This window comes from Homo sapiens, chromosome 10 (genome assembly GCF_000001405.40).
Source record: "Homo sapiens chromosome 10, GRCh38.p14 Primary Assembly".
Classification (NCBI taxonomy): Eukaryota; Metazoa; Chordata; class Mammalia; order Primates; family Hominidae; genus Homo; species Homo sapiens.
This window is the reverse complement of record NC_000010.11, coordinates 597,649-625,171: the sequence shown is the minus strand read 5'-3', so window position 1 is coordinate 625,171 and position 27,523 is coordinate 597,649. Positions and strand designations below refer to the sequence as shown.

Genomic DNA, 27,523 nt, shown 5'->3' with positions numbered 1-27,523 from the left:
TGTAATTGTCAGCGTAAACAGTGACCCGCTGAGGACACGGCTGTAATTCAGGGTGGCATGGTTGATTGTCATCGTTAATATCAGGCACCTGCGTCTAAAATGACGGTGCCCATAGTGCGGCTCCAGGAGGGCTGGGCAGCTCCTGCCCAACACACATGCTCCTGGGCCCTGGCAGCCAAGGTTGCGCCGCCGGCCAGGCCTGCAGCTGTGGGTGCAGCGGGGCCTTCAGGGCACCGAGCGCCTCCCTCGTTTGCTCGTGGGGCCCACCCCTCTGTCCCCAGTGCGGCTCCCCCCCCGGGTTCTCCCGGCCACATGCACACCTCCGTCTTCACAGCTTCCGTAGTTTTCTCGTGGGTGCCCCAGGTGAGCTCCTGGGGAGGGTTCATGTGTCAGTCAGGTTCTCTCCAAGCGTCCCTGGCTCGTGGCTCAGCAGGTCCCTTTCAGATGAGTCAGCCAGCTGTGTGCCTGCATATTCAGCATACTTGTCAGGGGGCTGCCTCAGGTCAGAGCAAGACCGACGCTCGCCTCCTCCGTGGGACTTTGGAGCCCGCCCTGGAGAGACTCCAGCCACATCCAGAGGGGCTGCCCGGGCCCCCGTGGGCTGGTGGGAGTGACTTCCAAGCCACTCAAGGCCCCACTTTGTGTTCGTACACCCTAGAAAGGCACTTAAAGAGCCGTGTTCTGGTGCTGTGTGCCTCTTGAGTGAGGCACAAAAGCCTGGATGTGGAGCTGAGCGGGCGCTGCCTTCCTCAGGCTGTGCTTGTGTTTTGGGGCCCCTGGAGCACTTGTGGCTGTGATTTTTGATGCTGTCTGTGGGCTCCCCTAGACGGTCCCACCTGCAGCGTGAGGGCCCCATCTGCAGCCACCGAGGAGCTGGCAGGTCCGGCTTTGGTCCCACTCAGTCCTTCTCAACTTTGGTGACAGAGGTGACAGCAAAGCTTCAGCTGGGAGCCCCAGGCCTTCCCCGCTTGGGACCCTGGGACCGAGATAACAGATCCCTCCATCCATGTGCTGGGGGCCTCGCCGTGCGGCTCCCTTCTCTGGTCAGGGGCTGCGCCCTTGGGCTGGGCAGTTCCCGAGTCCTCGCACTCAGGGGCTCAGGGCGGGTCCCGGGTGCAGAGAGAAGGAGCAGGGTGGCGGTTCGAGCCCAACTGTGTTGGCTTCATCTTTGACCTCTTGTCTCTAAATATATTTGCAAAGTTTTCCAGATGAAAACTCAGAAGGAATTTTTAATGACTGTATAATCTGTGAAGGCTGTGGAAGCCAAGTCTGTCCGCCTCTTTCATCCACCTCACTTCTCACTGTTGGGGCTGATTTTGGCAGCATTCATAGGGGCATGGATGCAAGGGGCAGTGGCCAGCCCTCGGCCCTACATCCCTCCCCTGCTCCCCTCAGCCCTGCATCCCTCCCCTCTTCCCCTTGGCCCTGCGTCCGTCCCTCCCCTCCTCCCCTCCTCCCCTCAGCCCTCGGCCCTGCGTCCCTCCCCTCCTCCCTTCAGCCTTGCATCCCTCCCCTCTTCCCCTCGCCCCTGCGTCCTTCCTTCCCCTCCTCCCCTCAGCCCTCGGCCCTGCGTCCCTCCCCTCCTCCCCTCAGCCCTGCATCCCTCCCCTCCTCCCCTCAGCCCTGCATCCCTCCCCTCTTCCCCTTGGCCTTGTGTCCATCCCTCCCCTCCTCCCCTCAGCCCTCAGCCCTGCATCCCTCCCCTCCTCCCCTCAGCCCCACAGCATTTCGGTTTCATCCCCTTCTCTGCACCCGTCCTCATGAAAACCTAAGTGCGGCTGGAGGGAGACGCCTGTGCCCATTCCCGTGACCTCCCTCGCCAGCACGGCTGCAGCGTCCCCTTGGCAGGCATCCGTCTGGTGCTGCCTCTGTGCCCCCTCCTGTCAAGTGCGGCTGGAGGGAGATGCCTGCGCCCGTTCCTGTGACCTCCCTCGCCAGCCCGGCTGCAGCATCCCCTCGGCACACATCCATCTGGTGCTGCCTCCGTGCCCCCTCCTGTCACCTGATGCTCGTGCTCCTGAATCTTCACACGCGTGCTCCGTGCAGCCACCTCACTGGCTCCCTGGGAAGGGTGACAATGTCTCACGCCTGTCAGAATGCACCTCTCTGTGCACTGAATATTCCAACACAGAATCATTCCTCTGTGATGATTTATGCTTTGCGCTGTAGAATTGGAATAAAGAAAAAGTGAATTTAGACATTACAGCCATCAGGCTGAAGCTGGGTAATTGCATTAGGGAATTAAATGAGAGCATTTGAGCTTCTCGAGCTCTAATTCCACATCTTTGTATCCCCATCACCCCATACCCAGTGTCTAACACAGCTCTTGATCTAGTAGTTTCTTGATAAATGCTTATTGAATTGAACTGGACTGAGCTTAACATTCCCACCTGGAGTTAGAAGCCAGTCCCTGAGCAAGTTACATTTAGAACGTGAAGAACGTGAGTTTGACGTTACTGTGGTAAGGGGTATCCTACACGTCATAATTCCAAGTCAATATCGGGTATTTAGTCAAATGGACTCAAGCATAGAGAGGCATTGGCCCATCGGCGAAAGGGCAAGGCATGGTGCTTTAGGTCCAGGTCCCTGATATCAACTATGAAAATAAAATGTTGTCAACTCCAATTACAGCCCTGTCCTCAGCTGGTCACTGTTTATGCTAACAGTTATAAACAGCTTGAACTCGCTGTTCTGAGAGGCAACACGCCTTCCATTCTCACTGCAATGCAGCTGCTTTGGTGGATGGAACATGCCTCTCTTCCCTCCCTCCCTCCCCCTCCTCCCTCCCTCCCCCTTCTTCTCTCCCCCTCCCTCCCTCCCCCTTCCTCCTTTCCCCCTCCCCCTCCCCCTCCCTCCCTTCCCTCTCCCCCCTCCTCCCTCCCTCCCCCTCCTCCCTCCCCCTCCTCCCTCCCCCTACCATCTCTCCTGGGCGAGGGGTGGAGGAGAAGAGACTTCTGGAATCTTCCGCTTCATCCAAGCAGCTTGGGGGCAGCATCAACAGCTGCGACTTGGCAGCCCCAGCAGGTGCCTCAGGGCAGCCTTTCTAATGGGAATCCTGGAATCATGTCTTTCCTTAATGTGTCCTAAAGGCTGGAGGACACAAAGGGAAACAATGCTCAATGCTCAGTCCTGTGATTTTGTGTATTTATTGGACTTACTTTGAAATTAAACTAAGACACACGGTAGAGCATTAAAAAAAAGAAAAAACAGGCTATGGTGTTTGAAAAACAAACAAAACCATTTGGTTTGTTGGTTTGTTCTTAGACCTTCACAGTAGATTCTAGGTCACATGTTTCAGTTTATCAGCGAATGACATCCTCTCCGGAAGCCATGTCAACCTCTTGTTTGATGATGTCAGCCGCAGCAGAAAGAAGCACTCCGTAGGCCCCGTGCTCAGCACCTTGGCATGAGCTCCTGCCGTCTTTTGTTCATGCTCATCACAGCTCTGTGCAGTGGGCGTCCTCCTGATCCACGTGGGAGGATGGAGGATGGAGGCGGAAGGGTGAGTGATGGCAGGATCACACGAGGGGTCTCCCCCGAGATAGGGAGGGGAGCCGGCCCAAGACCTCAGTGCCCATCGCATCCTTCCTCCTCCTCCTCTTCCTCTCTGTGACTGTTTGACTCAGGCTGCAGGGACAGATGTATGTGCAGAGTGTGTGTGCACCCCTGGGGGGTGTGTGCTCATATTGGCATAGACTCGTGAGCGCATACAGAGCGTGTGTGCACACCTGGGGTTGTGTGCTCATATTGGCAGACTCGTGAGCACATAGTGTGTGCACCCCGGGGGTGGTGTGTGCTCATATTGGCACAGACTCGTGAGCATGTACAGAGCATGTGTGCACACCTTGGGGGTGTGTGTGGGTGTTGGCAGGGACAGATGTGTACAGAGCGTGTGCACACCTGGGGGTGTGTGCTCATATTGGCACAGATGAGCATGTACAGAAGGTGTGTGCACACCTGGGGGTGTGTGCTTATGTTGTTTGGTAAGTGGCGAATACGTGGCCCGTTGCGTCGGGCGGCCCTGTGCCTGTGTTGAGTCCGTCAGTGGCCCCTTGGGTCGGGGTCTCCCTCTCTGAAGACTGCACTCAAGTGTCTTGAGGTTTCAGATTCTTCCTCTCCAGGTACTTGGGCCTCCTCAGGACCAAACGTCAGAACCAGCCAACTGAAAACTACAAGAACGTTCAAATGCATCTTCAGTGGGAAAAACAAAAACAACTGGAATAATCTTCCCACATGACCCCGTGGTTAAGCCGTTAGATACTCCAGCCGACAGATTTAGTTACTATAAAATTCACACCAATTAAAATGGTTTTGAGAGTTGCAGAGCTTTACCACTAAACGTTGAAATAATTGAAGCGTTCTGCTCCACTTGCTTACAAAGCAGGGTTGGGGATAACTTTCAGTCCAAAGTAGCAACCTTCTAAATCCAGCTTAGATGCGAGGCTCCCACTGACACAGGAGGAGACAGTGGCCCTTGTTTATTCTCCCGTGTTCAGATACTTTGTCATTTTTTTGTATCCTGATCATCACTTCTGCTTTTCCAATTCAAACTAAAGGTAGTTTAGTTCTGTTTTGGAGAAGCTGTGGTTAGTGGTTTCTTTTCATGGTTTGCTTAATTTCTTGTCTGGTGCTTAAATTTACCCAAATGGACTTTTCTTTAGTACGACGGTGCCATAGCCCAGGGCTTCTCCCTCCGTATCTGCCCCTCAGGAGGCCCCCTAGGAATGGGTGCTGGAGATCCAGCCCCTCTCCGTGTGCCGTTTTCTTTGAGTCCAATGTAGGTTTGGCTCAGAGAAGAAAACAGGCCTGTGGTTTAGGTGCCTCTGACTGCTTGCTTGTGAAACGTTTAATGATAAGGCGCCTTCCAAACTAATTTTACACATTGATAGTTGTAGCTTGAAGTATCACTGCAGTTGTAAGAACAAGAAACACTCCCATAAAATAGATAGGCAGAAAAAAGCCATAAAAATTGAATAAAGCACAAATAAAATGGCCTTGTAAGACTATACAAGGGGAAATGCTCTCCGTCCAGCCAGATCGGCTGTGGCGTCCTCCGTAAATACATTCAGCCACATGTGACCCTGATCGCAATCACTACTGTGAATTGTGATCCAGAATGTTCTTGGGGGCCGACACCTGGGCTGTGCCAGCAGCTGCATCTGATTGGGTGTCTTGCCGGTGATGTGCTTAGTGCAGCCAGCTGGGCTGAAGGGGTGGCCACCCCGTGCACTTGCCACGTGCAGCTGTTATTCTAGTGATGGAGCCGTGAGTGGTGTAGCTTGTCCACCTGGTCTACTTAAAGTACAGGGAACCCATCCACGGGCGGGTGCCTCCCAACACGGGAGCTGCCATTTTTATCCAGGACTCTCTGGCGCTGCAGAGCCCAGCCTGCCGGTCCCTGGGCCCATGGGGAGGCACCAGAGGGCTCTGCTGGGCCATGGAGGTCCCCGACCAGGTGGTCACTCATTGCTTGTGGAGTGGTCCATGGCCCATGAGTTTATTCCTGGGGTCTGTGTGGGTGAGGGTAACCAGGTTCACAGCTGGGCACTTACCCCTTGCACAGGTGACACTAGTTAAAGTGGAATCTATATTAGCTCGCACGGGAGTGCGTGAGGAGCTGGGTGGGAGGGCGGGCGGGCGGGCTTGGTCCTGGCCCTGGCATAAAGCCTGTGCTCCCGATATTCTGCGTCTTCCTGTTGAGGAGCCGCCAGGGCTGCCGTGGGCTCTGAAGATGGTGGGTGCCATAAGGACCAGGGGATGCGGAAGCCTCTAGAGGCTGAGGGAGGCAAGGAGACGGTCGCTTCCCCGGAGCCAGCCCTGCTGACATCTCGACGTTAGCTGGTGGGACCTGTTTTGGATTCCAGTTTCCAGAAATGTGAGAAAATAAGTTCGTGTTGTTTGGGGCACTAAGTTTGGGGTGATTTAATAGAGAAGTAGTAAAACTAGCCCACGAAGGTGCACGTATTGAAATGTGACTTGTCCAGGTGTTCACAGTGGCGTTAGGGGGACGGCATCAGTGTTCTGGGAACTGCAGTTTTACTGAAGGAAGGGGGCTCACCGTGCCTTTCCTCACATAACTGAAGGTATGTCCGCCTGCCACACAGCTCAGGAGACAGCGACTAGAATTCTGATTTTATTTCTTATGGGAAGCAGGCCACAGTCAGAACACAGTGAGGGCTGAAATGAGCTTCCTGCAGCCTCAGCTGGAAAGAAGAATTGGAAGTATTTTTGATGTTTTTCTACACAGACCTGTCCTTTCAGGTTTTGTTAAGTTCTGGAAAAAGGGAGAAGCCAGGCATACCTTGGCGAGGGACAGTGTTTCTGGCGATCGTGCGGCTTCAGCCTGAACGTGGCCGTGTGGCTGAGCAGTGCGGGAGGGCTCTGGTCTGCACGTGTCTGTGTGGACCGAGGTCACGGGGTATTGTCCCAAGCACTTATCCTGATCTGGCAGAGGCTCTGTTCCCAAATAATTATTCCACGGTTTCAGAGGCTGTAGCTGAGTGATAGTCTTTTAACTTTGTTGCATAAAAGCAAACAAAGTCTGTCATGAGAGTCTAAAAATCATTATTTAGTAGTCATGACTAAATTCATACATGGAGCTTTGGGATGGAGTGAAAGCCACCGTCACCTGGCGTGGACGCTGTGTGGTATTTTTAGCATGGTGGGCGCCTGCTCGTGCCTTGAGCTCTGTCTGCAGTGCGAGCGACAGCTGTGCATTTGAGAAATGTGGGCAGGTCAGCTTGCTCCTCCAGGGGCCTGCGGGCGTCCGGCTCAGGGGCCTGGGACGAGGCCATGTCAGTGGGAAGGAGCTTGGTTGTGTTTCAGCAGATATGTCTGCCTCTCCAGGCCTGCAAGCCAGCCAGAACCCAGTTTTCCTTTGGTCATCTAATGCCAGAAAAAAACCTGTTTCTTAGAGATTCTTGTAATTTATATTAATGAACCATTTGACCATACATAAGAAAATATTATCAGAAAAATGCATGAGGCTTTACAACTTGGCAGATGTGTAACTCACATGATTGAATCAAACTGTTGAAGATACTTGTTTCACTTGAGGGTTTTTAGCATTTTATGTGCAGACCAAATGCCAATAGCATTCTGAAAGAGTATTTTGGAATTTTAAACACACAATCACAGAGTGGGACAGTACTGGGTCCTGGGATGCTGGTGAGGTGGACGTGACCTCAAGCTCTTGGAGCTCACAAGCAAGCAGGATTCCTAAATTGTCACACCTGCAGTGCAGGGAAGTCAAAGTGGATTTCTGTAAACGAGGTATTAGTGCAATAAGGAACAGATGAGTGCCCTTGGAGGGCAGTTTTTGAGCCTCCCAGACACCTGGGGCTGGGGGGGCGGTTACCCACCAGAGCCTGGATGGTGGAGCTGGGTTTGCTGGTTGCCCTGTGTGGCAGGTCATTACGTGCAACAAGGAGCAGGTGAGCGCCCTTGAGGGTGGTTTCTCAGCCTCCTTCGGAACCGCAAGTGGAAGACGCCCCAAGCAGGGGTGGGGGTGGGGGGGTGGTATCCACAGGAGCCTGGACAGTGGGGCTGGGTTTGCTGGTGGCCGCTACGTGGCAGGTCACTGCGTGGAGCAATGGGAGGTGGGTGGAGTGGGAATAGAGGACACACCCTCCACAGCTACTGTTGGGAGTTGGCCCTGGTGGCAGAGGGTGCATAGAAGGATTCCCATCAAGGGCAACACGGCTAGGGTCCCACGTGTGCTGGATGCCGTGATATGGCCATGTGTGGTCTCAGTCTCCACAGCCACCCTGGGAAGTGGGTTCAGTTACCATTCCCATCTCACATTTGAGAAATCTCAGGGGCTCACATCACAGCTGAGTGGGGTGGAACTAGTGTCTCAGCCAGGACGTTGGCCCTAGAGCCCAGCTCTTACCCCGCTGCTATTTGCAGTCCCCCAAGTTTGTAGAGAGGCATGTGCGGTAGTGGGGGGCGGAGGTCGTGTATTTCAGGGGGCGGCTGAGATACCAACACAGTAGGGGCGGGGGGCAGGAAATAAGTCAGGCGGGAGGCACAGAGGCAGTGCCTGGGAGGTCTGCATGGGGTCTGGGTGTGGGGGCACCTCTGGGCCTGTGAACCCCGTTGTGTGCTCCTGGCTTGCCTAACCTTGGCCCTTAGCCATGTGCTACGCATTTTATGTGAAATCTCAGTCCCTCCCTGGCTTTCTTTCCTTAAATCACGGAGTCTCAGTGGGGATGGGGGGTGGTTGGTGGTCCATGGAATTTGCCCTCCACCTCCCCATCCTTGTCCTGTCTGGCCTGTTATCTGAATCTGTCTTTTCAGAGCCTGCAAATGAGTAGAGGCCACGGCGGCCTCTCGCTGATGGGCGTGGCTCTCAAATATTTTCATCAGAATTGTGTTAAATGCTGATTCCTAGGCACCCCATTAGACTCTCTATGCTTGCCTGGCCTGGGTACTTTGAGGAAGGTACACAGGGTTGCTGGGCTATTCCAGGAGGGAATTTGCATTTGTAGAATGTCCACTGTGGTCCTTCCCGCACTCTGCTCTCCACGCACACGTGGCATTAAACCTGGCAGACCTCTGGGTGCTGTGCTGGTGAGGAAGCCCTGGCTGGGCGAGGGGCTGTTGGGGCTCAGACTTGATTCCTGGTCTGGGGGCTGCCTGCTTATTCTGTTCAGTGGGCCCGCTGATGGGATGCCCTGGGAAGTCCCGCTGTGCAGAGACAGGCTTGGGAAATGCAGACCATGGATTTAAAAATTCCTAAAATAAGAAAATCTTTTATGAACAAAGCAAATTAATTTGCGTCTGACTGAAGACAATCCTTGCTTGAATAATTGGTTTGTTTACAAAATGGGTCCTATGGACAATAAACACAGATTAAAGTTTTCATTCATGCTTGTCTGTAACGTAAATAGGAGCTATTACTGCCACCTAAATTAGCTTTAAATTTTGTATCGGATTGCGGTCCAGATTACAAACGGCTGCTTGATAATCTAATTGATAAAATCGAGGAATTTAGTACTTGGAACCCAGAGTGAAGAGAACAGAATTGCTTTTGTTTCTCAAGTGTGTGTGACTGAGGGATGACCTGGGTGAAGAGAAGTGCCTGGAGTCATTACACTCAAGGAGGAGATCTGCCCCAGCCTTTCTCAGCGTCTTCAGGATAAAACAAAAGGGTGATAAATGTGGAAAAATGCAGCACTGAGTTTGTCTATGGTCTGAGCTTCTCATGTGGTCATTAATGTGAGCGGGCTGTATCTGTGGAGCCTCCCTACAGGCACAAAGGAATCAGGCTAGAGTAAGACGGCCGGCAAACTCTGGCATCTGGGCTGCGTGTCGTTTCCTAAAGCCCTTTTGGGTGAAGTGACACAGGCGCAATGTCTGTTTGGAGGAGTGTAATCTCACGCATGAGACGCAGATTTTAAACACTAAAGTCAAGAAGCTTGGTGGGAGTGGCTGTCTTCCAAGTGGGTTTCTGTGTTGCCATGGATGAGGCATGGATGTGTCATCTGTCGGTGAAATGCGCTGGTGAAGAGGCTAAGCAAACCCTGTGTGTGTGTGTGGGGCGGGTGTGTGTGTGTATATGAACCTACATCTCTTCTGGCATCCGAAGTAAATAGACGTTTTGTAAAACTGGTGAATTTGATGACTCTGACCCTAACCCTGAGAGTTGAAGTCTGGTGCAGTGTCTTGAGCCCTCTTCTGCATTGAGGGTGAGTGACTGTAAATGACTGATTCCTCAGTGGCGAAAGTTCAAATTTAGCGTCCCTGAGGAAGCCAGACCTCATAGTCACCTGTGTCTCCATTGTAAACACCGTGGCCCCTATGCGGGTGGCTGCGAGTTTCCAGGCCCTCCTTGCAGAAGCAGCCATGCAGTGCTTGGTGATTTGATAACATCAGCCACCTTCTGTCTTCTGTCTAATCACGGTACAAATGATTTTCCTACAGGGAAACAGATCTCATTTCTTCCCCGATCGTTGGGAGAAGCAGCCCGCCTAGGGACCGCACCGTCCTCTGCACTTTCACAGTGAAGCCTGTGTCTCTCTCCGAGAAGTGTCACGTGTGTCGTGGGAATCACGGGAATTGCTTCCTTAATTCTCCTTTCTTAATGAGGGCTTGGGACAGCGCTGCCTGTTTCACATGGGACGAGCAGCTGGTGGTTTCTGGCTGGCGTGGGACCAGCGCTTCGGCTGTGTCATCACATCTGGTGGCCTGTCCAGCTGGGTGTCATTGTCTCTTGTCTCTTGGCTGAGGCAACTGTGATGCCATGGGGGTCACGCTTGTGTCAGGGCCAACCCAGTTCTTCCCATGCACACCTCTCCTGCTGGAGTGCTTTTCCTTATGATGACGTGTTGGATCAGTGTGGAGAATGCAGAGAGGCTCTGGGCCTCTCCTTCCCATACCTACTCCCTGGAGCCGCGATACCCGGCAAGGGAGCCCGTAGCCAGAGGCTCCTTTAAATTTCATTAGAATAAAGATTTGATTACACAGCTAAACACACTTGAAAGGAACTTTATGGATCACATTCAAGACTCAGCCCTTCAGGCCCAGTGGCCATGTTTCGGGGCTCAGCAGCTGTAGGTGGCTGTTGTCTTTGTGTCGGCCGAGCAGATTGGGACGTTTCCAGTTCAGCAGGCAGTTCTCTTGCACGGCTGTGCCTGTGGTGAGGGCACCTTGGCTGGAGAGCCTCGTGGGGGGATCCCTTAGGCCTCTGGCTGCAGCCAGGCTGCATGGTTCCTGTGCCCCGGGTCCTCTGCAGGCCGAGACGGATCCCACCACAGAGCCGGCACTGTTAGACTTGGGTACTGTGTGCAGACAAAGAGGTGCATGTCCAGGCCTGGCGGGGGCTGGGGTGACTCTGGCCTCCTTGGCCAGGCTCCCGTCTCCGAGTCTCCAGGGGAAATGCACCCATCATCCACACCATACACTGGAGGAAAACTGCAGGCTTCTCTGTGTGGATGGTGAATTGAGATCACCAAGTGTGACTCGGCTTGGGCTCCTAGCCACCGTGGAACCCAGTGATACCTTTTAGGTGGAACCTGACATGCCTCCATGTGTGCATGGCAAAGAGAATGCAGCGTTGTCAGCTTGAATCCAGATGTGTGCCTGTTTTGAGGTGGAAGGTTCTGGGAGCGTTGGCTGTTGGTGACTGTCCTGCCATGGAGGACGTTGAATGCAGGCACTGGTTTAGGATAATGCCTGGTTTCCTGGTCCTGTATGTGGGTATCCCTGAATATCCTGGGCTGGAGGAAGGCAGGGCAGATGGGAGGGTGACAAGAGGTCAGGTGTTTCCAGCTGTGGGGAGTGATGCCATCAGATGGCCGAGATCAGGAGGGTGGCCGGGGAACCAAAGCAGGGGTGTGTGGAAACGCCATGTTTCCCGGGGCACAGGGAAGACCTGTTGAGATCAGGAGGGTGGCTGGGGGACCAAAGCAGGTGTGCGAAATGCCATGTTTACCAGGGTGTGGAGAGGATCTGTTGAACTCCATTCCTGGGCAACAGTTCTTCCATTCTCAGGAATCTGCCATTGTAATTCAGTAGCAAATTCTGCAATTGCTCTAATTACCTGCTGTTAAGTCCCCATCCCAATTACCATGAATTAGAAACAGTGACAATTATTGAGAGGTAAGGAATCGCATATTTCCAGGGTGGAGACGAATGCAGTTGTTTGCCTGGTCAAGCCTTGCCAAGAAAAACCAGTGGAACCAGTTTTAGGTGCCTTGAGTTCCCTCCAAATCGGATTCCTTAGTGGGCTTGTGTCCACAGCTGCTGCAGTTCCTCCCGGGCCTGGCAGGCACGTTCCAGACATTCACATCTCAGCTCAGATGCAGGCGTGCACATTATTTATAGAAAATCGCACTGCACTGTGATCGGCTCTAGCTGACGTTTTCTAGGTGGGAGGCGGAGGCCGAGGACCTGTAAGGGACTGTCCGAGCGTCCTCTCACTGGCTTGGAGCAGGTGCACATCTGTTCTTCAAAAGTTCTAATGGGATGAAATTAGAAATCTGAATTTTAAAAATTCACATGTTATGAACTCTGGTAATTTCCCCTGAAATGAGTGACTGTTTTTTGCAGACGAGGCAGTCAGCCTGTAGCTCTCCTTAGAACGGTCCTAGACCTTGGGCCATGCTGTCCTGTGACCTCTTCCTGGGTGTGGGATGCTCTGCTTGAAGCAAAACTGCAGGAAAGAACGTGGTCAGCGTTCATCACTGCTGCAGCCAGCTCAACGTGCACACCCACTGGGAGGGGGGCCGGATCCCTTAAAATTTTACATGCATTTAACAGTAAACCAGCAAGTCAGCCAGTGCTTTCCGTAACCAAGCTGCTTGGCTCATGGGAACCTGACACTTCTTGACTTTCCGGAAGAGAATACTTGCTTCTGTGGAGCGTCAATATTTGTCTCATTTCTTGAGACTCTGTTCAAAGCAATGAACATGTGTGTAAATTAGGACCTTTTTGTGTAAATTGGGCCACAGAGCTCTCTAGACACAGTCGGCGGAGTAAACGGCTGTGAAAGATGCCACCTGATGTGAGCTGTGGCCGGGCCCTTTGGAACCTGGGATCCCATCTCCAGCCTTTCAAAGGACGTAGAGGAATATAAGATGCAGATGGGAGGGTTCATATTTTGGGCATCTCTGTTCTTTTGAAATCAAAGTGCAAAGAAAAATTTTGCCTTGAGGTCTTACCCCACACTTGTTTTTCTCCTGAGGTTTTAAAATTTCCTTAACTGTGCTTTTTCTCCTTCCATCCTTGGGGAACTTCTTTCCATCTTCATATCTTCTTAAAAGATAGTTAAATTCAACATTGAAATGTAAACACATGCTTTCATATTATTTTTCTTTTAGCTGATATATTTGACATCGGTGAAGAATTAAGTGGGTGTATTGGTTTATTTTTTTTTTTTGAGACGGAGTCTTGCTGTGTTGCCCAGGCTGGAGCGCAGTGGTGTGACCTTGGCTCACTGCAACCTCGCCTCCTGGGTTCACGCCATTCTCCTGCCTCAGCCTCCTGAGTAGCTGGGATTATAAGTGCCCGTCACCATGGCTGGCTCATTTTTCGTATTAGTAGAGACGAGGTTTCAACATGTTGGCCAGGCTGTCTCGAACTCCTGACCTCAGGTGATGCGCTCACCTTGGCCTCCCAAAGTGCTGGGATGACAGGCGTGAGCCACCGCACCCGTCCTGGGTTATTCTTGATTTTAACTATAATAGATCCCTTAAAAAAAAGCTGTCTGAAAATCTTGAAATTAAAGAGCTTACTTGGACAGGGATTCGGACACCAGTTGAATGGCCCAGCACAAACCATAGTTACATGGGTCACTGGGCCTGTTAGATCCTAGGGTATTTGAAGTCGTGGGGATATTTGCATTTCTGCCTCTGAATATCATGTTAGTACGAATTCAGCTGGTGTTTGAGGGCCAGGCTCAGATCTGGGAGAACAAGAGCCCCTGCTCTCATGGCACTGCTTTCCTACGTGTGTGCCTTAGGAAAATAGCATCGGATGATTTTTCAGTGAGTGGGGAAGATGGAAAAAAAGGAAGCTTAAGATGTTTAATTGTTCAGAGCAAGGGAAGTGCAAGGAATGCTCAGCTTTTCTGCTGCTAAAGAGGCCCTGGTGGGAGGCTGTTTCAGAGGTGGGGTTTCTCTGAGAAAGGTGGTAAGAGACAAATAGGATGCCCCATCTGGTTTGCCAGAGATGGGGAAAGTTAGTTTCCCAAAAACAGTCTGTGCTCTGGCAAAGGCTTCGGAAAACCAGCTAGAGTGCGGGACCTTGATGGCCGCTGGGTAGAAGGAAAACATTGCTGGTCCTGCGGCCTGCGCTATTCTTCCACTGCTATAAAGAACTACCTGAGGCTGGGTAATTGATAAGGAAAAAAGGTTTAATCGGCATACTGTTCTGTGGGCTGTACAGGCTTCTACATCTGGGGAAACTTACAATCAGGGTGGAAGGTGAAGGGGAGGCAGGCACGTCTTTACATGGCCGGAAAGAGAGAGTGAAGGGGAAGGTGCCATGCACTTTCAAACAACCAGATCTCATGAGAACTATCATGAGACAGCACTTGGGATTGTGCTAAACCATTAGAAACCTCCCTCATGAGTCAGTCACCTCCCACCAGGGCCCACCTCCAACACTGGGTGTTAGAAAGCACCCCCGTGAGTCAGTCACCTCCCACCAGGGCCCACCTCCAACACTGGGGGGTTAGAAAGCACCCCCGTGAGTCAGTCACCTCCCACCAGGGCCCACCTCCAACACGGGGGGGTTAGAAACCACCCCCATGAGTCAGTCACCTCCCACCAGGGCCCACCTCCAACACTGGGGGGTTAGAAACCACCCCCATGAGTCAGTCACCTCCCACCAGGGCCCACCTCCAACACTGGGGCGTTAGAAACCACCCCCATGAGTCAGTCACCTCCCACCAGGGCCCACCTCCAACACTGGGGGGTTAGAAACCACCCCCATGAGTCAGTCACCGCCCACCAGGGCCCACCTCCAACACTGGGGGTTACAGTTCAGCATGAGATTTGGGTGGGGACACACAGCCACACCATGTCTGGCTCCCCGTTCTTACCTGCACTTGCTTCGCAAACGATTCTGTCATTGGTTTATTTTTGTTTTTGTTGATACATAATATATGTACATATTTTCAGGGTGCATGTGATACCTTGATACGTCCCTATATTGATCAAATCTGGGTAATTGGGATGTCTTTCACTTTAAACATTTTCTTTTCCTTGTGCTAGTAACATTCAAGTTATTCTCTCCTAGCTGTTTTGAAATACACAGTAGGTGACCCACTGACATTCCCCTGCTGGTTTATCAATAGTAGATCTTGTGCTCCTGTCAGGCTGTGTGTTTGTGCCCCTTACCAGCCTCTCCCCATGCTGCTTATGAGTGGGCCCTGCTGACCACCTACTTTTGGCCTCCATGACATCTGCTGTCAGCTCCTGCTCATGAGTGAGAACATGCACCATTTCTTTCTGTGCTTGGCTCGTTTGCTTAATGTAATGTCCTCCAGCTCCATGCTGTTGTGGATGACAGGGCTCTCTCCTCTGTGTGGTGGAGTACTGCTCCTGTGTATGCTCAGGCCACATTCCCTTCATCCCCTGTTGACCGGCACTCAGGTGATTCCGGATCTTGGCTGCTGTGGACGGTGCTGCATTGAAGCTGGGAGCAGTCACTGGCTTTATATTTGGGGGACGTGAGCCACTTTGATGTTCTCAAGCAGCCTGTCCCCAAAGCCCTCGGTGGAATGCCGCATTCCTTTGTGCCCCTCGCTTCCACTAGGAAGAACCGCTGGGAAGGGGCTTTGAGTGAACGCTTGGGTTTCTGTCTCTAATTGGTACCCGGCTGCACTGACCAAGCAGGGGTCCCAGTGACCCTGGACATTGCCTCACATAAGATCCAAAGATGCAGTTAGGTTCTTTTTAACTTCTTAAAAAATGCTTTTGACCTGGTTAACCTATAGCATTATCAGTTAGTGTTTTTGATATTGGAAAGGTGATGTATTTTATTTTCTAAGAAGGAAAGAAACACAAGTTATCCTGTTAAATACTCTAACCACAGACTAAATCACATCAAGGAAAGAGGAACTATTTTGGGGGGAAATTAGCCCTTCATGTCAAAGATAAAGGAGATGACTTACATTGTTTTTTAATTGAGTTAATTATGAAATCTTAAGTGGGTTTGAGAAGATGAGCTGTGGATGCTGAAAGGAGAGACTGATGCTGATTGAATGTTAGTCAGCCCTGATAGGATGTGGCTAGTATTTCAAGCTTGCTCCAGTATTGTTTGATAGATTGTAAGTGAATGTAAAGATCTATTTGATGCTTTTATTTTACAAAATACTATTGAGAAAAAGTTTCTGACAGCCAGGGAACAGCCTTCAACCAATTTCTTCCTAATTTCCATCACCAGAAAAAACTTGTCCTGTTAATTCCAGAATTTACTTTTGGAAAGTTCCTGTAAGGAGAGCAGAGGTATTGGTGGTTGAATGGTGACTTGAATTTAGGTGAAGATCATTAAATATTTTTGTAGTCATGTTTGTCTTGGTGGTTTTAGCAATTTCATATTAAATTTAGAACTGCGAGTCATAAAAACCAAACGTGGTCTTACCCTTTGCTTTTGTGATACTCCTTTTGTTTATATGACTATACTGGTAAAGTGATGACAAAATCATGCTTATAGGGTTTTCTTCTGTGTAGATATTAGGATTTTTAGGGGAACAAATTCTTCTAATAGACATTGTGCCATGTGTTGGGGTCCTTTGTATATTAGTCAAATCACTGTAATGAGAACCACTTGCAAGTATATTTCTATACAAGATCTTTTATATGCTGACTCGTGGTATGTAAAATCCTTCATCCTCTAAGAAGACTAAGCAATGGGTTGGAGGAGAGGTTTATCCCCCATTAGGTCTATTCCGAATGCCCAGAATTGAATGCAAGTACGAATTGTTTTTGAAGTGGTGTGTGTGTGGGGGGATGTGTGTGTGTGGGGGGGATGTGTGTGTGTGGGGGGGGATGTGTGTGTGTGGGGGGGGATGTGTGTGTGTGGGGGGGGATGTGTGTGTGTGGGGGGGGATGTGTGTGTGTGGGGGGGGATGTGTGTGTGGGGGGGGGGATGTGTGTGTGGGGGGGGGGGGGGGGTGTGTGTGGGGGGGTGTGTGTGGGGGGGTGTGTGGGGGGGTGTGTGTGTGGGGGGGGTGGGGGGGTGTGTGGGTGTGTGTGTGGGTGTGGGGGGATGGGTGTGGGGGGGGTGTGTGTGGGGGGGGCTGGGGGTGTGTGTGGGGGGCTGTGGGGGTGTGTGTGTGGGGGGCTGTGTGTGGGGGGGGCTGTGGGGGGGTGTGTGGGGGGGCTGTGTGTGTGTAGGGGCTGTGTGTGTGTGTGTGTGTGTAGGGGCTGTGTGTGTGTGTGTGTGTAGGGGCTGTGTGTGGGGGGCTGTGGGGGTGTGTGTGGGGGGGGCTGTGGGGGTGTGTGTGGGGGGGCTGTGTGTGTGTTGGGGCTGTGTGTGTGGGGTGTGTGTGGGGGGGGCTGTGGGGGTGTGTGTGGGGGGGCTGTGTGTGTGTTGGGGCTGTGTGTGTGGTGTGTGTGTTCCTTTTTAGGTTATGAGAGGGAGGTAGATCAAAGACCAGATTTGCTGATGAACATTTGTGCATATTCTAGTGGAGAAGTCATATGACTTGACCGCACCTGCGGACTCCGATTTTGGTTTCATTACGGTGTCTGTAGCCGCAAGCCTCAGCCACCTCTGGGACCCACACTGAGGGGCTGTGGTGTGGGTTATTACAGAGTCGTACGTCTTAGCGAATGACACAAATGGCCTTGTGGGCCTACTTTGGCTTTGTTTGAACCTGTAGATTGTTAAACTAATTTTAGTTTAACATTTTGAAGATTATAAATTGTGATTCTTGTCTAAGAAGAGGTTTCCATTGTCTCTGAAGACAGAAGCCGCAATACAGATGGTCTCTGGCTCACAATGTTTACACTTGTGATTTTTCAACCTTATGGCGTGAACTAGTCACACTCATTGCATCGTTTGGGCCGAGATGGGCTGCCTCTGGATGAACCCGTTGTAAGTCGAAACTATTATGTCAAATGCACTTTCTATTTAGGATATTTTCAGCTTATGCTGGGTTTATCAGAACAGTTTAGCCACGTGGTAAGTCAGGGAGCATACGTGCTCATAAAGGTAGAGACGATCTCATAGATACCATTTAAGATATAACGTCTCTGATGTTATAGAGGGATACAATGAAAAAAATCAAGTGGGACTTGGAAGTCTTGGAGGGACTCATGTAGGCGGCTCCTGGAATGCAGACGTGAGCACCACTGGCTTCTGGATAATGAAGTCTGTGCCTTCTTAGCCCAGTGGGTTATCAGCTGCTCTCGAGGGCAGAGGTCCAGCAGCTCAGCTGAGGACCGTTCCTGTGTTTAGGTGTTTGAGCTGCCTTAAAAGAGGCAGGTCAGTTCTCACTGGTGTCTTCGAGGCTTTAGGCCTTCTGAATAAGCAGGAGGAAGGACGACTTTGTAGAGCTTTGGAAATCTCAGCGGACTTCAGGGCCATCCTCCTTGGCAGGAGAGCCCCACCGAGGTGAGCAGGGTGCCGTGCAGGCCGTGCTGGGCCCAGGCATGTACGGACGTTAAGGGCCACGGGACACAGATCGGTCTTGGTTCCTAAGTGATGTTGATGGCCACGCAGCATTTCTGCCACGTACATGAGTGCAGGGACTTGGGTTTGGGGTGTGCGTCCTGGCTGCCTAGTTGCTTGGAAGGCCCCTATTCAGACCCCAGCCTGAGTCACCATGACAGGCCTCCAGCTTCACACGCCACACGGAAGCTGTGGCGTCCGTCACTGACGCCCACCAGATGTCAGATGTCAGATGTGCGTGTGTAGCTTCCCTGGTCTCGGGTTGGGTCTTGTTTTGAGGTTATAGAAACGTTCTTTAAGAGGGGTTTTGGATTTTTTGTTGTTTGCAAGGAGGCAGCAGAGTGCTTAAGCAGTGAGATCCCTTTCCTAATGAGAATTCAGATCACAGCACGTAATTACAGCAGTGGGGCCATGAGATCCCCTCCCAACCAATGAGAATTCGGATCACAGCAGGTAATTACGGCAGCGGGGCGAGAGATCCCCTTCCCAACCAATGAGAATTCGGATCACAGCAGGTAATTACGGCAGCGGGGCCGTGAGATCCCCTCCCAACCAATGAGAATTCAGATCACAGCAGGTAATTACCGCAGCGGGGCGAGAGATCCCCTTCCCAACCAATGAGAATTCGGATCACAGCAGGTAATTACGGCAGCGGGGCCGTGAGATCCCCTCCCAACCAATGAGAATTCAGATCACAGCAGGTAATTACGGCAGCGGGGCGAGTGGCCGTGCCCTGAGCTGTGTGGCTGTGACTGGTGTCTTCCCCCTCGGACAGAGCGTGCTGGGGCCTCAGTGGTCCTCTGGGGGGGTGGGTGGAGCCCATGAGCCAGGTGCTGCTGGGCCGTGGCTGGCACCCCAGCCCAGGGTTTATGCAGGACTCGTTCTGAGGACAACTTAGAACCCAGAAAGCAGCGCGAGGAGAAACGGGTTCGTGGGTTTCTGTATCTTTGGTGCTTCCCGGTCTCCACGCTGCGCAGGCTCCGGGGGTTCTCGCCAGGAAGACTTGCACAGTCGGACCCCGGCGTGGAGTGGGGCTGCAGAGAGTCTTACAGGAGCCGGAAGTGGGGGGGAACGTCTCGCAAGTGGGACCTTTCAGATGGGCCCAGCAGGATGCATATGTGGAAATGGCACGGCCTGAAAGGCTGCAGTGGGCTCCGTTTCTGCTCTCCTGAGAGTCTCTGCCCGGTTTTCTTTGGTTTTTGTCTGTTTGGAGGACGCTTCCTCCTTTCTTGGGCTTACCCAGCCTTCTGAGCTTCCTTGTTGAGTATCATAGCCCTGAGAAGGCATTTTTATTGCATAATTATGTTATCCTGGTGGCTGGTTAAGTGACCTGCAAATGTGGGTGATTGAGTAGTTCTGAGGGAGATCAATATCTAAGACAGAGGTGGCAATGAAATGTTCAGGCAGGCGTCAGGAATCTGTTCTCTGCTTCATATTGGGGCCCTGGTTTGCTGACAGTCTTCACACTCCATCTAAAATGGGGAAAATAAAGTTTCACAGATTCGGCTTAAGCTGAGAGCTTTCTCCAGCACAGTCTTGTGTGAGTAACAGTTTATGTGGTGCGAAGGGCGGGCATCAGTTGATCTTATTTGTTGTGGTGCTTATGGTAGTTTTTCTGTAAGGAATTTTATTAGCTTGGGCAAGGGAATCATGAGTGATAAATTGAAAGAATGTTTCAGGAAATTCTGGAACCTGTAGTGAATCTGGAATCTGTATGAAATTGAGATTTGGAGTCTCACGATTTCCTAACGTGTCCCTGAAACCCAGTAGTTGAGATAGTCGTAGAGCTTCAGTTCTGCTGCCCCCGTTCCCCATTTTAAAAGGAACACGTTGCTTTCATCTAGAAGGTTCTGAGCTCTGAGTGCAGCCGGCGGAGTGACCAGCTCTCTGCATCAGAGGGGAAGCCAGGGCTGCGCTCACGGCATCGCGGCAGCTGGGAGCCGACCCTGGACCTCAGGCACGCATGATGCTGACCATTTTCTGTAAACTCCAAGGTTGCAGTGGTCTCCTTGGTGCTTTATAGTCTTCTGAAGCTTTTGATGTGTCTGCACTTCATAGATCTTTCGGAAGTAGATGGCCTTTTCCCCGCACCCTTGGGCTGAGTTTTATCAGAGGCTGGTGTGTGGGAAGCACCATAGCCACTTCTGACAGAAACTCGGGTGCCCAGCCGAGGTCAGAGTGGAAATTTGTGCTTTTCCTTCGCTCCAGTATGGTCTGGCTTCTCCCTGCTTGGCCAGAAGAAAATCATGCTTATCCAAGTCATAGGCAAACCCCCTAAATTAAACATTTGTCTTTTTTCTTTAATATACCCATTTAGTTTATATGGGACAATAGATTGACAAATGTCTTTTAGGGGAAAATTAATTTAATTAGAGAACTTTTTGGATAAAAACTATAATCAAGAGAAGCTGTTTTGTAATAAGATCTAGTTAAATACTAAAGTTGAAAGCTCCTTATATTTGATCTTAAACTTGGGCCCAGGGTGCGTGTCCGCACGCTTGCGCTCATGACGCCAGGCTCAGCTGTGAACTACAGGCACACTGTACTTACTTTCTGGTTGCTTTTTTGAAAGTCTTATTGCTTGGCCTCTCCGACTCAGATGTTGAGTTACATTGATTCTGTTCCGAATGTGTTCATCCCTCCATCTAGGGTCCACTCGTCTTTCAGGGAGCAACTGCCTTCCTCATCTTTGTCTCCTATGGTATTGTATATTTAATAGTCAAATATTTATAGGTTGCATGGGTGACTGATGTGTTCATTAGGAGGAAAACAATGCCAATTTTTACGTCATTATAATGGACTTGTTAAATGCTTGTTAGTGTAATGAAGTTTACATGGCAAAAGAGGCTTTGGAGATGTGACTGCGTAACAGACAGTGAGATGGGGGAGGACCCTGGATTGTCCAGGTGGGTCCAGTGTCCTCACACACATGCCTTGATGAGAGGGAGTACGAGGGTCTGCCTCAGAGGAGACCTGAGGATGAGGTAGAGGCCAGAGGGGGTGTGGGGCTGAGGGCAGGGCTGGGGGGTGGGGTGGTGTTGTGGGGCTGATGAGGGAGCTGGGGCCGGAGGGGCTTGGGGCCAAGGGTGGGGCAGTGGTTGGAGGGGTGCCGGGCCGGAGGGGTGTGGGGCTGAGGCTGGGGCAGTGGTCGGAGGGGTGTGGGGCTGTGAGCCAAGCTGCATGGTGGCCTCTGATTTGGGAGACTCCAGGCAGGAATGCAGCCTACTGACCCCTTGACTTCAGCCCTGGGACTCCTGACTTTCAGGGCTGTGAGAGGAGGTCTGCGTGTGTGGTAATTTGTTGCAGCAGCAATAGGAAGTTAATGCATTGTATCTATTCACCTCCAGACCTTTGAAAAGTAACCCTGTTGTATCAGCCTTTTGTGTGCCCTAAATTATAATGAGATGGTTTGTGGGAAATAGACACAAACGATGGCAGAACAGATAGTTGGACAGAAACAGTGTCTTCTGTGGTTCTATGATTTGGGTCTTTAAAGTTAGATTTCGATCACAGTATGGTCTTGTTCCAGGTATACCTGATATACTTGTTCAGAGCTCCTGGGGGAGTGGTCTTTAACACATGACGTGTTAGGATTAAAACTTCAAGCACATCAGAGACAGAGGTCCTGAGTCAGTGTTAGGCGACCTTTGAATAAGGGTTGGGGTATAGAATCTGCCCACATTACTAGTATGAAGCAGCAAAATCTCATGGTTGGTTTTTTTTTTTTTTTTTTTTTTTTTTTTTTTTTTTGAGATGGAGTCTCATTCTGTCACCCAGATTGGAGTACAGTGGCGCAGCCTCGGCTCACTGCAACCCCCGCCCCCCTGTGCTCAAGTGATTCTCCTGCCTCAGCCTCCAAATTGCATGATTTATTTTCCTGTTTTATATACTTAGTATATGAAAACTCTGCAGACTTTATTAACACAAATGACATGCCAGAACTTACATATGATAATCCAGCATTTTCCCGTGCAAATTAGTGGTGATGTGGAATTCCTGGGCTGGTTTGGTTTTATAAGACGTAGGGTGGATTCTTTGCCTAATTTCTATGGAGCTAACAATTGTTAATCACCCAGCACTCTTGCCTCCCCCAACGGCTCCGGTGAGGGGTGTTATCACCACTGTTGTGTTGAGAGGCGGGAGACTGAAGCTTAGACGAGCAGGTGACATGTTGCTGTCCGGCCTCACCCACCCTGTAGTTTCCTGCCATGGCCCAGCTATCTTTCTGCGAAAAAGGATCGACACCCTGGTTCTGGGTAGAATTCCTTGTGAACCCCGTTTCCATTCTCCAGGGAGTTCTTGCTTTATGGTGGTGGCTCACGGGAGGCCTCTGGCCCACTGAGAAAGTGGCTAATGTTGTAACATGACTGTCTGGGCTGCTGTAGATTGGGTGATCTGTAGCTCACAGCTCTGGAGGCTGGGAAGTCCGAGGTCAAGGTGCCTGCAGATCTGGTGCCCCAGGACCTGTTGCTCACAGACGGCAACATCTCACTGGGCCTCACGTGGCGGAGGAGCAGGAGGGCTCCTTCAGGCCTTCCAACAAGGACACCAACCCCGGTCCTGAGAGCGAGGCCTCCCAAAGGCCACACCTTTTAACGTATCCCATCGGAGATTGCTTCAGTGTGCGTGAGGTTTTGGGGACAGACATTCAGGCCAGAGCCATTGCTCTGCTGTGGTGTTAGGGCTGCGATGGTATCATTACTGCCACAGAGCCACAGCCTTCTCAGCTGCATTTGCTGCAAGAGGAAGACACAGGTGCCTGTGCAAGTTGGGGTTCGGTGCAAGAAGCGGAGACCCTCTGGGAATCAGAATCAGCAGGAGGAACTTAAGGGCTTTGAGAACTGACACTTTAGGACTGCAGGAGTTTTCTTCAGACTGTAAAAACCTTGGTGTGTGACAATACTGAACGTTGCCTGAGTCCTGAAATCCTGTAAACAGTGATGGTTAAGACATTCCCCGCCCCCACCCCGACCTTATTTACTGCAAAAAGCCCCTTCCCATGTGGCTTAGGCTGACTTGCAGGTGACCCTTTACCAAGGACAAGGCCAGAGTCAGGACTTCAAACACCCATTCTCTGCCTCATAAGTGATTAGCTAAACTGCCGGTTCCCACTGATCAATCAGAACAAAACGCGTGTTAGCCAAATCTTGGTTCCTCCCGTTCTCTCCTTACCCGAGCCTGAGGCCCCTCTGGAGAACAGGCAGCCTCTGAGGAAACCTCTGATCCCCGATCAGCCACCCCATCGCCTGCGTCCCCAGCCGCTTCCTCCTGGCCTTGTTCCCCCTTCCCTGTGAAGGAGAGAACAGTTTCGGCTGGCCCTGAGATGCTGGCAGGCCTGCAGTCAGGGCAGTGGGCGCCTCCCACCTTGAAATGGTCCTTCGTGGTGCAGTTCTGCTTACGGGGTAGACTTTGTTGCCTTCCACAGAGGACAGTTAGGGTGGGCAGGAAGGAAGTCTCTGCCACAAGTCTGCATTCCAGGCTGTTTCCAGAAGTGGGAATTCTCTCGTGCCCTGGAGTCTGGGAATGCATTTTTAGTTTCCCAGCTTCAGGTAGAATTGAAATTGAGTGAGCCAACCCACCACATCCATCTGGAGCCAGGAACTAGTGCCGTTTTAAAGCGGCAGTTTCTCCGTAAGATTACAAAAAATGCACTTAGCACGTTTCTTACTTTGACATATGCATTTGGACATCTAAAATGGGAATGGTGGTTTTTGAAGCATGGATGTAGTTTTAAATTTTGAGTGTTGTAAACCTTAATGTAGCTTCCTAAAATTTTTGCCTGATTATCTAGAGATTTACTGAACCTTTGGAGTGGTAATGAGTTTATCTGTATGACTTTGCTTTCTATGATGCAATGAAAGTACTATAATTAAAACCTCTACAGTTGGGTGCAGCAGGCGATTGGCCAAAACAAATTCTGCCTTTTGGTTTTTCTTAACCAAACAAGGGAGTAAAGAGTGTAGGCTGAAGTGGCAAATTCATTTCAGAGTACGCCAGAGCCCTCAACGATTGACTGAGCAGCCTTCTCAGGTGAACATGTAACGTGCCATGAGTCTTGGCAAGGCTGGCTACCCATGTGTGCACGTGACACCACAGAGCCACACCTGGGAAGATGTGGTTTCTGTAACAAGCTTTGGAAAACCTAAGTTCAACTTAATTATCCAACTTTGTTACAGAAAAAGCTTTGACCAGATGGCCAAAGACCTGATTCTCTTATGGTTGAGACGTGGTTATAAAATTGCCCTTACTTGGTGCCAATCAGTGTTTGTCCACAACGATACTCCTCCAACCTCACTGAATAGTTTGGAGAATGAAATGAGACTGTGAAAATCTCCTTAAGGTGAAAAGCGCTCTGGGGCACCCAGGAATATCCACACACCCTGGGCCATCCTCTTTAAGGTGGAAAGGGCTGTCGGGTCATTGAGGAGCATCCGGAAACCCTCTTTAAGGTGGAGAGGGCTGCTGTGGGGTCGCACGGGAGCATCCGCACACCCTGGGCCGTCCTCTTTAAGGTGGACAGGGCTTGTGGGGTCGCTCCGGAGCATCCGAACACCCTGGGCCGTCGTCTTTAAGGTGGAAAGGGCTGTCGGGTGGCTCCGGAGCATCTGCACACCCTGGGCTGTCGTGGCCGTCCCACTTGCTGCTCAGTCACCTCCATGTTCCCACATTCAGGCTTTGGGACACTCTTATTAGCAGCTCATCCCCTGGGCTGGCTGAGGAAGGAGTGGGAGGTTGTGCTGAGGCTGTGTCACCATCTGCCCTGACATGAGCTGGGCAAGGCAGCGGCAGTGACTCCAGAGGAACCTGGTCACTGAGGGTTCCAGTAGGAAGTGCAGAGGCTTGGGGTGGCTCTGCCGGTCGTAACCAAATGTCTTCCCTCTTATTTCCACGATTCCTTCTAGTTCTGTGCCTTGTACTACAGGGTCTCTGTGTGCCCATAAATACATGTTAGTTATGATACAGGTTCCTCTTTCCCCTCTGCCTGGAGCTGGGCCCGGGGAATGAAGTGCAGACCTCCTTGCCGCTGGATGCCCGCTGGCATGAGGCACTGCCTGCCCTGCTAAGGCCTAGAGAGAGTCCTGGAAGCCCCCTCCTGCACACCCGGCCTCTTGAGGTGTACACAGGAGATGGATGAGCTCCCCCTGTCCCACACTGAGCAGAGACTGGGGAGGCGGCGGCAGCACTGTCCCCCACAGTGCATCCTCAGTGCATGGAGGAAAGTCTGTTCATGCTTAAAACACAGCTCGTCCCCTCTCCTCAAAAGCAGGATGACAACCGCATTTACATCCGGAATCTTAAAAAAGGGCCCGTTGGGACATGAGGGTTGCAGTTGAGTACTTGCTCCGAATGCACTGGAGCTCTGGGCTCTGTGGCCCCAGGGGGTCCTCTGTCCACTGAGGGTGCTGGGTTACCTGGAAGGTCCCTCCAGCCTCTGCGATTTTGCCCTTTTCAGGTTAACATGTCGTCATTTTCCTGAACAGCACTGCCTTTCGTTCACTGACCCACGAGTGAACAGCTGGTCAGATGACCACTGCTGCTTCCTTCGACTGGGAAGTGGTGACATGATTATACTTCCATGGAACTTGGTTTGTTCTTGGTCTAGTAAGGGTTCAGTTGTATCTTGATGTTTAATCTGCAACTCTGAATTGGTCTTTTGATTGCAAAGAGATTGCTTGCTGGATTTGTTTCTAAATATTTCATGGATAATAGGAGAAACTCACTTACCTGTGTGTTCCTGTAACGTGTTTTTGCCGGGTATTTAAATGGGTGTCTTAGTAAGCCCTTAGCCCACTTTCTGTGTGTGGTGGATTCATTCTAACCATTCTGTTGAGACCAGAGGATGTGGGGTGCTGTCTCCCTAAACTAGGGGGAAATGGCATTATTCTGCCCTCCTCCCTGGGAACGCTGGGGTTTCTGGGTCTCTAACTTGGCTCCCACGCTGGGAGAGTGGCTGTGGCTTCTGGAGCCTGTTTTGTGAGGGACTGACTCCTTCACTTACTTTATTCCACACGGTCTTCGCCGCTTTATGATGCAAGGATGAGGGAGGTGGGCCCGGGGGCCGTGCCTGTGCCTCAAAGGCTCGATGCAGAAAGTCGTTGTTGGAAGGATGTTCCTTGAGGCAGTCTTTTCTACTTTTAACAGAAAAGTAACTATTCACATGGCTCTATTCTGCTAGTGATGTTTCAAAATAATTGATGCAGAGTTACAAAGATGTCGGAGACACCCATGACCCACTCCGGGCTGGGGCCAGGCCTTCTGCTCAGATGCCTTCAGACCACATTCAGATGCCAAAGATTCTTGCTTGGTTATTCTCAAACTTAAGAGAATCTAAAACACAAGCCACGGTGTGGATTTTCTCTTGAGCTCTCATGCCTTTAATTGCTTTGTATTTGGGGAATGAATGACTTCATCAAGGGGAAAGAATTTGAGGAAGCAGCCTCTGAAGCTAGGAGGGGGTGGGGAGGGGTGGCGTGAGGAGCAGAGGGAAGAGGAGCTGTGGGGGGAGGAGCCAGGCTGGGGCCTCTCCCCATGATGCTCCCCTACCCCTGTCGCGAGGCCTCGGACTGAGACTGACTTTCCCACAGGAAATGCATGTGATGATTGCATGTCGGTTTTGTGGGCTGGCCATATGGATTGAGGGAATGTCCATGTTGTGATTCTTCATTGATTTGAAGGTTGGAAAGGTTTGTGCTCAATGCAGGGGTCTCTTGGTGCGATGGGAAATGTGATCGCAGCTGCCCTCGGGGTGGGAAGAGAGGCCCTTGGTGGCCGGTGCCGGCTTTCACCTTCCTGGGTGAGCTGCCCTTGGGGTGGGGAGGGAGGCCCTCGTGGCCCTTGGTGGTGGCCGGTGCCGGCCTTGGCCTCCCCCAGTGAGTGCTGCTCCATCCCTGGTGTCTCCGACTCTTTGCCTGGCACTTTCCTCGTGGGAGGCCGTGATCCATCAGCCTTGTCCACGCGTGTCCTGCAGACTTGTGCTGACTCTGCAGGTCCAGCGGTGGTTAGAGGAGGCCCTCCTAAACGTTTAATGATGGCGCTGCTGAGTGCATGAAGCCACGTCAGCCCCAGAGTCCAGGTAGGGAACCGTGGGGTAGAGGGAAGAGTGGACAGATGGGTGCTTTCCTTGGCCCCTGGGGGCATGGCCAGGTCCACGTTCAGACCTCCTGGTTTCTCCCGTATTTCCATAAATAGCCAGGAAAGGACTCAGGACCCCTAGGACCTCATGGGTGTAAGCTGTGTCCTCGTGTGGCCCCAGCTGTGGCCAGTGACGTTATTCTCTTTAACCTCAAGCTTATTTTGTATAAAAACATGAAGGGACAGAAGTAGTTCAGGAGCCTCTGAAGACTTACGTAATTGTTAGTAGGCCTACTTTTATGATTTCTTACGTATTAAGAGCAAATCA

General features: G+C 51.4%; 1 protein-coding gene across 5 annotated transcripts in view, besides 1 other annotated feature; it reads left to right on the top strand.

The window, feature by feature from the left end:
• DIP2C (disco interacting protein 2 homolog C) overlaps window positions 1-27,523 on the top strand; it is a 415,468-nt gene that overhangs the window by 64,497 nt on the left and 323,448 nt on the right. The window lies entirely within an intron of this gene.
• Window positions 4,804-5,303: an enhancer, noted in NCBI's record as "H3K4me1 hESC enhancer chr10:665809-666308 (GRCh37/hg19 assembly coordinates)". NCBI's record gives its function as "activates a minimal SCP1, AML or CMV promoter by ChIP-STARR-seq in primed H9 embryonic stem cells {active_cell/tissue: H9 hESC(primed)}" and the evidence as "EXISTENCE:reporter gene assay evidence [ECO:0000049][PMID:30033119]".